The sequence below is a fragment of the Homo sapiens genome, chromosome 13 (assembly GCF_000001405.40).
Source record: "Homo sapiens chromosome 13, GRCh38.p14 Primary Assembly".
Taxonomy (NCBI): domain Eukaryota; kingdom Metazoa; phylum Chordata; class Mammalia; order Primates; family Hominidae; genus Homo; species Homo sapiens.
In genome coordinates, this window is record NC_000013.11 from 77616423 (window position 1) to 77629652 (window position 13230).

At 36.9% G+C, this 13230-nt stretch overlaps 1 protein-coding gene and 1 pseudogene across 25 annotated transcripts in view; both read left to right on the forward strand.

Annotated features, from left to right (window-relative positions):
- SCEL (sciellin) overlaps positions 1 to 13230 on the forward strand; it is a 109558-nt gene that overhangs the window by 80717 nt on the left and 15611 nt on the right. For 21 of the 25 annotated variants that reach the window (NM_144777.3, XM_011535283.2, XM_011535286.2 and 18 more), the window contains 4 exons: positions 1177 to 1236; positions 1381 to 1440; positions 1582 to 1638; positions 11525 to 11587. In NM_144777.3, the coding sequence (NP_659001.2) occupies positions 1177 to 1236; positions 1381 to 1440; positions 1582 to 1638; positions 11525 to 11587 (240 nt within the window). The remainder of the gene's footprint in view (positions 1 to 1176; positions 1237 to 1380; positions 1441 to 1581; positions 1639 to 11524; positions 11588 to 13230) is intronic. The other 4 variants (XM_011535290.2, XM_017020805.2, XM_011535291.2 and 1 more) reach the window with 1 other exon arrangement.
- On the forward strand, positions 6950 to 7050 carry RNY3P7 (RNY3 pseudogene 7; annotated as a pseudogene).

Sequence of the window (13230 nt, forward strand, 5' to 3'; positions counted from 1 at the left end):
GCCATCAATTTACATAAGGAGATTATGTTGTGGATAGTTTTAATATATCAATCATTCTTTTAATAGTATTTATAGATATCAATTTATTATGTTCAATTGAAAATATTATCATAGAAGAAAGCTCAAAACAGTGAAAATTCAGTTAGAGCCTTTCCATAGACTATGGAGAGGTGAGAACCATGAAGAATAAATCAAACTAAATGAAGCCCTGAACATTCTATTGAAAGGTTGAAGGCTGGGGAAGAAAATGCAGACCTTTTCTCAGACCTTCTGATGATTCATCTCTAAATGACGCTCTTTTGGTCCCTAAACTTGCATCCTTTTTTTTTTTTTTTTTGAGGAATAAAATGTATTTTATTTTTATATAAGGAAAAAGCATTGTTGTGGTGAGAGGTACATCTAGATTGTTTCCCAGATGGTACTGGAAGCAGGTTTTGTCAGTTCTGCAGTCTCTTGCCATGGCAACTGCCATGTATTTCTCTGAATAAGTATGAAAATCAGTTCAGAAGAACACTTTGAAAAATCACTACTTTCCCACCCTTAAAACAAGGGGTTATGCTGAGGCAGTGAATTATAGCAAACTATATAAGAGGAAACACTGTTCTGTGGCTGAGAAGAGAAACAGGAAGAGTTTCAAATGGGAGCGGACAGTTTTCAGAGTATGTAACTCATTTTACTATGAACAGCTGAGTTTAATTCAGTTTTTCAGCCATCAAAGAGGGAAGAAAAGTCACAATTTTGATGGATTGCTGGACCTGTCTTTGCTAAGCTTTATATGAAGAATAATCCTCAATTTAGAGTTTATCTTTTAAAAAAGTGATGTCCTTAGTTGGTGAACCTGATTTTAAAAATAAGGATATTAAAATCAGCTGGTATCTTCATAATGTTAATACATTCAAGAATGAACAATTGTCAGTTATCAGATGTTTGCTATGGTGACTTAACCAGCCTGCCCTTGTAGATAGGCTCTGACAAGAAAATGTATGAAATTAGAGTAAGTTTTCTTCTGATAAAGCATAATTCTTCATCCCCTAAATTGGTTAGAAAACGTATTTCATAGTTAGTCAATACTAAAATAATATGTCTCATACTATTATCCTTTCTATCCATTTCCAATTACCTTAAACCTGTGATTATCTCTAACCCAAGTTGCTTTAATATTTTTTCCACTTAAAGAAAACAAGATCTTGATAAACTCATCAAGGTGAATCCTGAAATTTTCACAAACAACCAAAGGTAATAAAACTATGTTGTTTTAATGTACTTGGGTCAGAAAGAATATTAAGTTTTATTATTACTTCAAGCAGATTTATAACCTTAATGATATTACCAAAAGAACTTCAAAATTAACCTGCTCTCATTTTATTTTTTGATTTAAAGAAACCAAGATCTTGCTAACCTCATCAAAGTAAATCCTGCAGTAATCAGAAACAATCAGAGGTATATATAGAAGCAGTCAATTCATGTTTTTATTTGTCTGTTGCCCTGGATGAAGTGGATTTATAATGTTGCTTTATTGACCTAGCACAACCCCAAAATCTATTACCAATCTGAACTTTTTTCTCTCTCTCTTTTAAACAGCCAAGACTTGGACAATCTTATTAAAGTGAAACCTTCAGCTCTTAGAAACACTAATCGGTAAATGACCTTGACTATCTTGACATGTTTACAAGTTTCTAGGGTAGGAACTTCTCCCTCCCTCCTTGCCTCCCTGCCTCCCTCCCTTCCTCCCTTACTCCTTTCCTCCCTTCCTCCCTTTTTTCTTTCTTTCCTTCCTTCCTTCCATTTCATTCTATCACCCAGGCTGGGGCACAGTAGCACAATCATAGCTCACTGCAGACTCAAAATCCTGGGTTCAGGTGGTCCTCCTGCCTCAGCCTCCTGAGTAACTGGGACTACAGGTGTGCACCATCATGCCCAGCAAATTTTTTAAAATTTTTTTTAGAGATGGGGTCTTACTAGTTGCCCAGGGTGGTCTCAAATTTCTGGGCTCAGGCAGTCCTCCTGCCTCAGCCTCCTAAATTGCTGGGATTACAGGCATGAACCACTCCTTCCTATCCTTTTTTTCTTTTCTTCTTTTCTCCTTTCTTCCTTCCTGCCTTTCTTTTGAAGGCTTTTAGTTTTCTTTGGTGTGTTAAATGAGGCTACATTTATGACCCATCCCATGTGACTCCTGTCAACAAGGAAACAAGGAAACATACTGCACTCTTCTGAAATCAATCGCACTATTTTGAAATTAGTTCTGGGCTTCTTATTTGCACTAAAACAACTTAGTGCTTGTTGTCTACAGAAAATAGAGTTTTAGGACTGAAATGAAAGACATGAATACAATTAAATAAGGAAAAAAGATATTTTGAAGAAGTTGAACCAAACTAATGGTTTATGTGGATGTCTGTAAAACATTAGAATGCATGTCTGTAGAACATTGGAAAGAATATTCATGATCTTCAAAATCCTAGATCCACAGCTAGTGTGGGCCCACAAAATATTACCAATTTTAACCATAAGCTTCCATTTTACACTCTTAAGATATCTTATAATTTGCTATTTGATATCTTTCACATAAACTGCTTTATTAATGGATAATAAGTAATAGATAATGCAAAAGAGTGCACTGTATCAGAAGTCCAAATTGCTCTGCTGACCTGAAATTGTGTCATAATAAATACATTGCTGGAAATAGTAGTCCAGTATTCTGAAAGGACAAAAAGAAATTAACATATGACAAAGTACTTTGAACCCATTAGGAGAAAGAGGAAAGTATAATCCATGATTGGCCTAACTCTTACATCTCCTAGCTTGTTTTCTATCTGAGTATCATATTTTCTTCTTGCTGTTTTGTTACTTCTTCAGCACCCAGGATGTGACTGGCAATTCATGTACATTTAATCTTCACAACAATCCCATGAGAAATCTATTCATGCACCCTATTTTGTAGAAGAAGAAACTATAGTTCAAAGGTACTAAATAACCTTTTCAAGAAAGAAAGTACACCCTGGACTTAAACTCAGGGACTTCTGATGTCATTACCTAGAGGAAAAACAAAGGATCTGTGGTTAAATCAGCTCAGACTCTCTTCTTCTTTCCATTCTTCATATTCCCTATGCTCCTCTTCTGCTCATACACAGTTAAAGGAGTATGATCAGATGTATTTATTCTGGAGGATTATTGTTAAAATGACAGTGAGGAAAGAAAACACTTGCTGCATGCGGATTTTCTAAAAGCTGAAATAACAGTGGACCCTCCTGCTGAGAATCGTACGGAAATATCTTTGTTAAGTAGAGCCCTTTCTTTATAGTGGCATTTGTTGGGTGGATTTTTCTTTTTATCAGTAACAGTTTTAGGAAGTTTCCAATCATGTTGAAAGTGGTTAGGTTCAATAACCATGTTATGTAATAACTGACAGTGAAAAATGTAGTCTCTCACTTTCTCTCCCACATCCCCTTCCCAACCCCTTTCCTCCCTCAGTCCCTCTGACAATTGTGCTTTGTTGACAATGGTAACTTTCTCAGAAGAGTTTTTTGCCTTTTGTTTTATTAGAAGAGGCCAATTTGGTAGAAAGTTAGTTTGTATTTCAGCAACTCCTAATGAAATATCCGTAGAAAGACGACATTTTCCGTATACAGATATGATTACTATAAAAAAATTTAAAAATATTGGCTATCGTGTGGTTTTAAGATGGCGGCTTGATTCACAAATCTAACCTAACCTATGTCTAATTATTCTTTAGTAGTATGCCAGATTTGATGAGAATCCACTGGGATGTTCAAGAATTATCACAAAGCAGACAAACAGGAAAGACTGAACCATCTATTTGAAAAAAGTGACTTCATTCAATTGGTTCAGCCACCCGTATCTGTAATCTCTCCATTCTGCCCTCTTGATTTTAATGCAGCTATAAAGGAGAGTATTTTAAAAGTGCCTCCCAGTAGGAAGAACAGTCACAAGGCACTGTTATATCAATTCAGTGTGACACAAGCCCTGATTATTTAATAGTATAACAGCAGTGAATCAGAGTTCTTTCATCTGACTTTGCTGACATTTCCAGCAGCTGTATATTTAATTCACAGTTAGGGGCTGAACAAACTACAGCCATTGATCAGAATGTAAGCAGGCATCCTTGAGCTTCTTCTAGGAACAAATACAGATGTGCACAAAATTTTCATTTATTCAGTAAGAATTTGCATGACTTGTAGCAGTAACAGTTTCACATTTTCATCAACCAGTGTCAAAGAGAGATATTCAGTTATTGGTAGCCTATAAACTGTGTTAGACTGATTATTAAAATGCTACATTTCTGCTCCTGAATGAATATTGAAAAGCATCTAGTGACACCAAGGCCTTTATAGTTAGAAAAGGCATCTTTCATCTAAAGTAGAAAAAAAAATACTCTTAACTGTTTGTGGCATTATACTTCCATCTTCTTAAGGATTTCCTATTTGTTAAGACATCCCCAAGTTTTTAGTATTCCAAAAAGAGAAGAGTTCCTTCCTAACTATCTATTGCATATTTTTCATATTTCTGTTAACATAAACTTGGGGACAACCTTGACGCTTTCTGGTGTTTCATTCCCCATAATCAATCAATCAGTCACTTTGGATGCATCACCTAATAATCTCAGGGAGTGGTCCAAGACAGTTCATCATACCCACTGGTACTGTAGTCCAGATTATTGTTCAGCCTCCTAACTTGCCCCTCTGCTGCCAATCTCCCCTTCTGCCCTTCAATCCATTCGCCACCCTGTAGAGTGATTTTCCCAAGACACAAATCTGATCATGTCATTCTGATTAAACTCCTTCTGTGGCTCCCCATTGCCATTGCATAATGGCCATGCTCCTCCTTAACCTGGTCTCTAAGCCCACCACGATCTGGCATCTATGGGCTTTCCCACTCCCGTCTATTATCGTTCTCCACCCAAAAGCAAACCCCACCCACACACCCTCTAACTTGCATACTCCTCACTCCTCCTTCATCGCGATTGCTTGGCTAACTTCTACTTATCCTTTAGGTATCAGCTTAGGTGTCTCTCACTCAGGCTCTGGGAAGCCCCCCTGACCCACCATGTGTGCATCAGATGCTTCTTCTAGATGTTCTCGAGCTGTCTTTTCTGGCCCATAACATTGGTCTCTTCGAGGGAGTTATTATTTAATCATCCCTTTTTGACTATAAGGTCTTTAAGGGTAACTACGGGGTCTGCCTTGTTTATTTATTTACCTGTAATGCATAATGCAATGCCTGGTACATGTTAGGTATTTAGCACATATTAAGGATAAATCTCAAACTCATCAATGCCTTATGATAGTCCACTTAGAGAAAGTCTAGCCTTCCAGCTGTGACATTCTGAGCCCCTATGAGTGAAACAAGATGAAAAGAATCAGATTTCTTATGACTGGTCTCCTTGCTTGAGCCAATGACTATCTTTTGCTCATGACATAATCTCAATAAACTATAGTGAATGGGAGCCACTGAAATTCTTGGTCGCATCTTATTTTTAAAATACCCAAATTGCCTAACTGCTCTGTGGACCTGTTAATTTCTTTAATACTAAATCTTTAAGACTCCCTCACTGAAAAGAATTATAAAAATATGTAAAACTCTAAAGAGTTGGGCCCATTTTGCTATGTTAATAAGTTGAGGAATTATACCACTTCTTTCACTGTATTCTCTATTCCTTTCAGAAAGACAGATATTCCTTTTGAACTAACGCCTAATGCCTAAGATTTAGTTCCTGGCGTAAAAGGAATACCATAGTAAATTTTTTATATGAAGACTCTTAATTTTGTAAATGTGTTTGATACTCTATAAAAACAATTTAAATGAACTGTATGGTGAGAAACATATTGCTGCCTATTAATAAATACCTCCCACACCCACATGAGAAAGGAAGAACAGTTAGGAGTGAGCTAATAAGTTTCTCATATGCAGAGCTTCTCCTAGGAAAAGTTATATAGTAAGAGACATAATTCCTGGGTCCCCAGAATCTCTATTTTTTTCCTTCACCTGCTTTGTAAGACAGTGTTATAGTTTTTGATGTGGTAGTAGAAAATAAATGACATTATTATAACATGGATAAATTCTTATACTCAAAAATTGTCCTGTGGCTTTAGCTCATAGATAACTCACATTTCTCCCCAAATATTCTGCAGTCTACATTTTAAAAACATTATTAGGCCAGGTACCTGTAATTCTGGTACTTTGGGAGGCTGAGGTGAGAGGATGGCTTGAGGCCAGGAGTTTGAGACCAGCCTGGTTAGCATGGTGAGTCCCTGTCTCTACAAAAATTAAAAAATTTAGCTGGGTGCGATGGCATGCACCGGTAGTCCCAGTTACTTGGGAAGCTAAGACGGGAAGATTGCTTGAGTCCAGGAGTTCGAGACTGCAGTGAGCTATGACAGCACCATTACACTCGAGCCTGGGAGACAGAGCTAGACCCCAGTCTCTAAAAAACAAACAAAAAACATTATTAGTTGCAATAGTCAGTAACAATTTGCTCTTCAATAATTTTCTGTAACTACAGAAAGTTGGTGATTTTCTTAGAATTAATTCCACCTGCCCATAAATGTATAAAATTGTAAGGTCTGCCTGCCTTCTACACCACCGCCATGAAAGGGGTTTGGAATCAAGCCTCTGCTTAACCCTGCAGCATTTGGCTGCATTTCTATAAAAATCTATTTTTCACAGTTGACTCACAGTTCTTCATCTTACACCACAGTGTAAAAGTCATTATGCAATTGATGTGGTCTTAATTAAAGAACAAAAATTTATTTTTATCTCCTTTAACTTGGAAAGCTTATGAGCAGTCTGTGCTTCTTTTACTGGATCTTCAAATGTAGCTGATGGCATCAATCAGAGTGAATAGCCAAAGTAAATACACACTTTGTACTTTTCTTCTTCTAGAACTTTCTATTTTGCATTAAATATTAGTGTAGATTATTCAGATTAAAATCTTGGCTGCTCTGAGTGCGGTGGTGTTTACTACTAACTACTCACACCAGTTATAGATTTCTTTGTTCCTTTTCCACTTCCATTGCTTCACTTGACTAGCCTTAAATAAATAAATAAATAAATATTACTCTACCAAACCTGATATGTGGTACTGTTTAATAAAATAAGAAAAATGTTATGAAACAAATAATAATATAGTTTATTTGGTGATTTGCAACTGTACCACTTTGGAAATGTGTTTCTTTGAAGGCACGCATAGGTTGCAATTTTGAGTTATCTATCTGTAGTTGTTGGATTTTTAAGATTCTGGCTTCTTCTCCTTTCTCAGATCCAAACCATTCTTTCTCCCCCTCATGAAAACTAAGGTACAAAGAGGTTGAGCGACAGGTGGGCAGTGTCTACAGCAGCCAGGATTATGCAGTATCTATAGCAGCCAGGAGTTGAAAGCCAGGAGGAGTTAAAGATGTCCACCATAAGGCTGAGAAAATATATGTAATCACGTTGTGAGGGTAGAAGCAGACCTGTATTTATTTGTTAGGGCTGCATAACAAACTACCACAGACTGGGTGGCTTAAAGACAAATATTTGTTGTTTCACAGTTCTGGAGGGCAGAAGTCCAAGATCAAGCTGTCAGCAGGGTTGGTTCCTTCCACGGAGTTGGTTCCTTCTGAGGCCAAAAGAGAAGTATCTGTGCCAGGCCTCTCTCCTTGGCTTGTGGAAAACTTGTCTTCACTTTTTTTTTTTTTTTTTTTTTTGAGATGGAGTCTCACCCTCTTGCCCAGGCTGGAGTGCAATGGTGGGATCTCGACTGACTGCAGCCTCCTCCTCCCCCAGTTCACACAATTCTCCTGCCTCAGCCTCCTGAGTAGCTGGGATTACAGGCACCTGCCACCACGCTCAGCTAATTTTTGTATTTTTAGTAGAGACGGGGTTTCACCATGTTGGTCAGGCTGGTCTGGAACTCCTGGCCTCGTGATCCACCCACCTCAGCCTCCCAGAGTGCTGGGATTACAGACGTGAACCACCGCGCCCAGCCAGAAAACTGTCTTCACTTTATGTCCTCACTTTGTCTTCCCTCTGTGTGTGTCTGAGTCCAAATTTCCTCCTACAGAGACACTGTTTGTAACTTGATTACCTCTGAGGACGCTTATCTCTAAATAAGTTCACATTCTGAGCTATTGGGGGTTAGGACTTCAACATATGAATTTGGGGGAGTACATAGTTCAACCCAGAACAAGCTCCAAAGGTAATTAAACAAAGCCAGGACTGAGAGCTGTGCAAAAAGGAAAGAAATATAATATATGCATTCAGGGGTGAAGTAAGGCAGGTCCTGGGTGATGGACAGAGATGGAGGTGAAATGTCCATAACTGGCTTTACTGGTCTTTTTTCCACATGGATATGGTGGACACTATGTCCCTAGATATAGACAGACCAGACAATCTTAAAGGTTAATGGTCTAGGCTAATACTTTCCCCCTGGGGTTCCTTTAATATCTTTTCTCAGAGCTGGATAAGGTTGTAAGAGGTTTCCCCAAAAAAGAAAAGATAATTTAAATTAATTCCACAAATATTTATGGAGCAGCTACTATGTGCAAGGCCATGTTAGGCCATAGTAATGTGACCCTACTCTCAAGTTGTAATGAAAGCCACCAGTTTCCCTATAAAACTAGCACTCAGTTCCTCTGGCATTAGCACTGGAAGGGGAATCACTTTGAGAAACAAAGTTCTAATTGCCCAAGAGTCACACCTCCTGATGATCTTCCACTATTTACCACTGCCCACCATCCCAGTTTGACATTCCTAAGAAATTGGATCATGGAATACCATGATATTCCCTTTAATTTTATTCCACTATCCCCAAATATTGAGTAAAGTATTACTTAAAACATTAAGGGGAAGATCTCTTAATGGCCAAGGTTGTTAAGATAGTTTAGTGACCCCTTATGCCAAGAAGATGGCTCTAGTAATTAGTGGAGACCTTCAAGGATTAGGCAAATCCCAAGACTCTAGTCACTATTTCTAAATTTGCAGGATTTATGCTGGGAGATTATCGTACTCAGTTCTTGCAGTTATGTAGAAGAATTCAGTTTTGAATTTTACATCATTTGGACTGCAGAGCCAATAATTTGATACTTCCGAGCTACTTCTGAAACCTAGTACTTTTTACCTGCATTAATTGGCATAGTTCCACTGTTACTCATTTAAAAAGTAATTTACCCTAATTTCTACAGTTTCAAAAGTATGCAGTTAGTGTTTTAAATGTGAGGCTTAAGTATGGCTAGGGAATGCTGCCGAATTTGCATATTTTACCAATTATTGTTGGCTTGGATGTTATGTAAAAAGAGTATTAAATCTCACCCCACATAAACATGAGAACATTTTATCATATTTTGCATCTTTATCAATATTTGTGAGTGAGAGTCTGTATACTGATTCCATGTATAATAACCTTATTTGAACCCACTATTTAGGACCACGAGAGGGGAGATTTTTAAAAAACAGTTAATTCCAAAGATGTGACAATTTAGGACAGAAATAAAAATGTGAAAGTGGCCTCTCAAAATGTGGAATCAATAGTGTCAACTGCAGGATCACAGCACTACTATTTTTTTATGCTTATTCAATTCACCCACAACTGTAGTCATTGTGTGTATTAGTCTGTTCTCATGCTGCCAATAAAGACATATCCAAGACTGGGTAATTTATAAATAAAAAGAGGTTTAATGGACTCACAGTTTTACGTGGCTGGGGAGTCTCACAATCATGGTGGAAGGTGAAGGAGGAGCAAAAGTATGTCTTATGTGGTGGCAGGCAAGAGAGCTTGTTTAGGAGAATTCCCATTTATAAAACCATCAGATCTCTTAGGACTTGTTCACTACCACAGGAATAGTGAGGGGACAACCACTCCCATGATTCAATTATCTACACCTGGCTCCACCCTTGACACATAGGGATTATTACAATTCAAGGTGACATTTGGGTGGGGACACAAACCATATCATTGTGCCATGAATTTTATTTACATTAACTTACTCATTCTCACCACAATTGTATGAGTTTGGACATTAGTGTCCTTCTTTACAAAATGATATGGTTTGGCTCTGTGTCCCCACCCAAATACTATCTCAAATTATAATCTCCACATCTCCACATGTCAAGGGAGGGACCTAGTGGGAGGTGATTGGATCATGGGGACAGTTTCCTCCATGCTGTTCTCATGAGAGCCAGTGAGTTTCCATGAGATCTGATAGTTTAAAAGTGTTTGGTGGTTCCCCCTGGCAGCCTTATGAAGTCTTATGAAGAACGTACTTGTTTCTCCTTCACCTTCTGCCATGATTGTAAGTTTCCTGGAGCCTCCCCAGCCATATGGAACTGTAAGTCAATTAAGCCTCTTTTCTTCATAAATTACCTAGTCTCAGGCAGTTCTCTATAGCAGTGTGGAAACAGACTAATAAGCAAAATAAAGTTTAGAATGGTTGACTAACTTGGTCACAGAAGTAAGGAAAAAACTGGGTCTCATTGTTTTGACTTCTAAACAGTGCTCCTACCCTATTAACAAAGACGTTTCCTAACTCATGACAAAAGAAAAAAAACAGAACTATCAATGTTATACCTAATATATAAATAACATACCAGAGGATCTTGTATCTCATGAAAGGGTGTCAAATCATTAATGCAGCCCAAGATATAAGAATCAAATTACTCCATTTCTTCCCCCACATAATGAATTATTTATTCAAATTTTGTGTTGATTTCCCTTGTTTCTGTGATCCCCAAAGCCTAAATAAGGTCTCTGGGTAAACATCTAAGAATTGATTTCAGGTGGGCAGATGGCATCATCTCAAATCTTGACTCTTCCAAAAATTAATTAATTGGCCTTGGAAAATTTACTTTGCCTGTCTGAGCTCCAGATGCTGTTCTGCAGGACTTTTGTGAGATCTGAATGAGATAATCCTTGTGAAAACACAGTACTTCATGACACAAAGATAGTACTCATTAAATGTTAGCTGAAAAGAAGTCGATTAATGGGTACAAATATACAGTTTGATAAAAGAAATAAGACCTAGTATTAGATCAGTAGGGTGACTATAGTTTACAATTATTGATTGTACATTTCCAAATAACTAGATGAGAAGACATTGAATAAGTCTAGCATAAAGAAAAGATAAACATTTAAGGTGATAGATAGCCCAAGTACACTAATTTGATCTTTACAAATTATATGAATGTATTAAATCACACATACCCTGAAACTTTGTACATCTATTATACATCAATAAAAAAAGAAAAATGAGCTGAATGTTAATAAAAATTAGTGATTTCTTTTCAGATCAGATTTCCCAAACCTTCCAAAAAGTTAGTTCTTTATTTCTCTTTCACAATGTAATCCATACTTCCATGTTTGATCCATGAGTTGTATGGATCAAATAGCTCAATGTCAGATATTCAATCTCCCATAGCCTGATAGACCACAAATGACTGTGTCTAAGATTATGTACTGATTTTAAAATGTTTTAGCATTTTCTTATTTCCTATCATTATGTTGTAATTATTCATATATATATATTTTTTTCCTTAGAGACCAGAACCTGGAAAATTTAATTGAAGTAAATTCTCATGTGTCTGAAAACAAGAATGGAAGGTAAAGCTTATTATAATTCACTTTTTTTCTTATGAGTTCTATATGCATCTGCATATATTGTATAGCCTTAGAAGATTATATATATAAAATATAATATTATATATTATGTAATATATAATTTGGATAGTGTGTATGTATATGTGTGTATATATATGTGTGTGTATATATATATATATATATATCATCCAAATACAAAAATTTACAAGGTGCTTAATAGCTAATAGGGAAAAATTAATATAATTCTTATTCTGTTAGAATTTCTGACTCAGGGCCTGCTGTTCTATTGCTTAGTGTAAATGGCATCATGGAAATTCAAAGCTCTTTGGGGCTGTGAAGATTTATTTTTACTTACTGTTGCTTGGTAAGCTCTCAGCAGTGCAGAAAGCACTCTGGGAATCTCTTCCTTGGATGCCTAGTGCTAAAAGAATGCATGAATTTATCACAGCCACAAAACAGGACCTAATTTTGAAATTTCTTTACACCATAGGGTATAATAGCTTTAAAACTGTGATACCTTATTGGCCATTACAAGAAAGGTTAGGACAGGAGCTATACTTCATTTTTGTCACAGACTGTATACTTCAGGAAAAATTAACTTTTCCATGTTTAGCAATTCTTACCCCTACATATGAGGGAATACTAAACACAATAGGTTACCATTTTCACCTTCATAGGTGCAGTTACCTTTTCTATTATTTTTTCTATGAAAAGAAATGATATTGTGATTTCATCTGCAGAGAATGGAAAAGCTAGGAAAAGAGCTGGCTCATTTTTCTTTTTCATACTGTCTCTAAAAGGTTCCTGAATCCGACAGGTAGATAGTTTCTTTCCATTCCTTTAGTTCCCCAAAACATCTTCTTCCTTCTGTTTGTGACCTTGAGAAAGTCTTTGAGAGAATGAGGGAGGATAAATTTTCAGTAGAATCTGCTTATCCTGGAAACACATGTACTATTTTGGGAATAGGACTGGGCTTACATTTAACTAATCTCATTCAAGTATTATTTGGAAGTGATTGGGGTAAAAAAAATTACAAGTAAATTATTACGTAAAATTAAGGAATTTCCCATTTGATTTGAGAAGCATTCCAGTTCCATTGGACTTGTTCATGAAATGGGATTAATGAGGAAATGGAATTTCATGGAAGTTCAAGAGCAGGAATGGTGGCATTGCCGGGCCTCAGAGAGATTTCACTTGGGAGATTGTCCATTCTTGACCTGAAGAAGTTTGGAACCCTTGGACATTAACTAGAGTTCTTTGTTACTAGTGGAACTCAGCTAGTCACTGAGTATTGGCTTTTGTCCATCTTTTTCCTGCCCTTCCCTGTACCTGTTGGCTTCCTTATTCTCTGCTCTTCTGTTTGATAACCAAATTTTTTTTTGCCTCTCAGTTTTGGCTTCTTTGTAACTTCAGCTTACTCTACCTCTTCAGGTACTTTAATGAATCAAATTAAAAATCTAAATAAGAGTCCCGGGAAAATCTGCTAAACTGAAAGGTGATTCATTTTATGAATGTATTCACTTTACATCGTAATTGGATGCCCAAGCAAATACATGTTTTCTAATTCGTTTCATTAAGAAGGTAGGAGCCAAGGGGAAAGTTCCACTTTGCCCTCTGAAGCTTTGCTGAAAAATCAACTCCCAAAA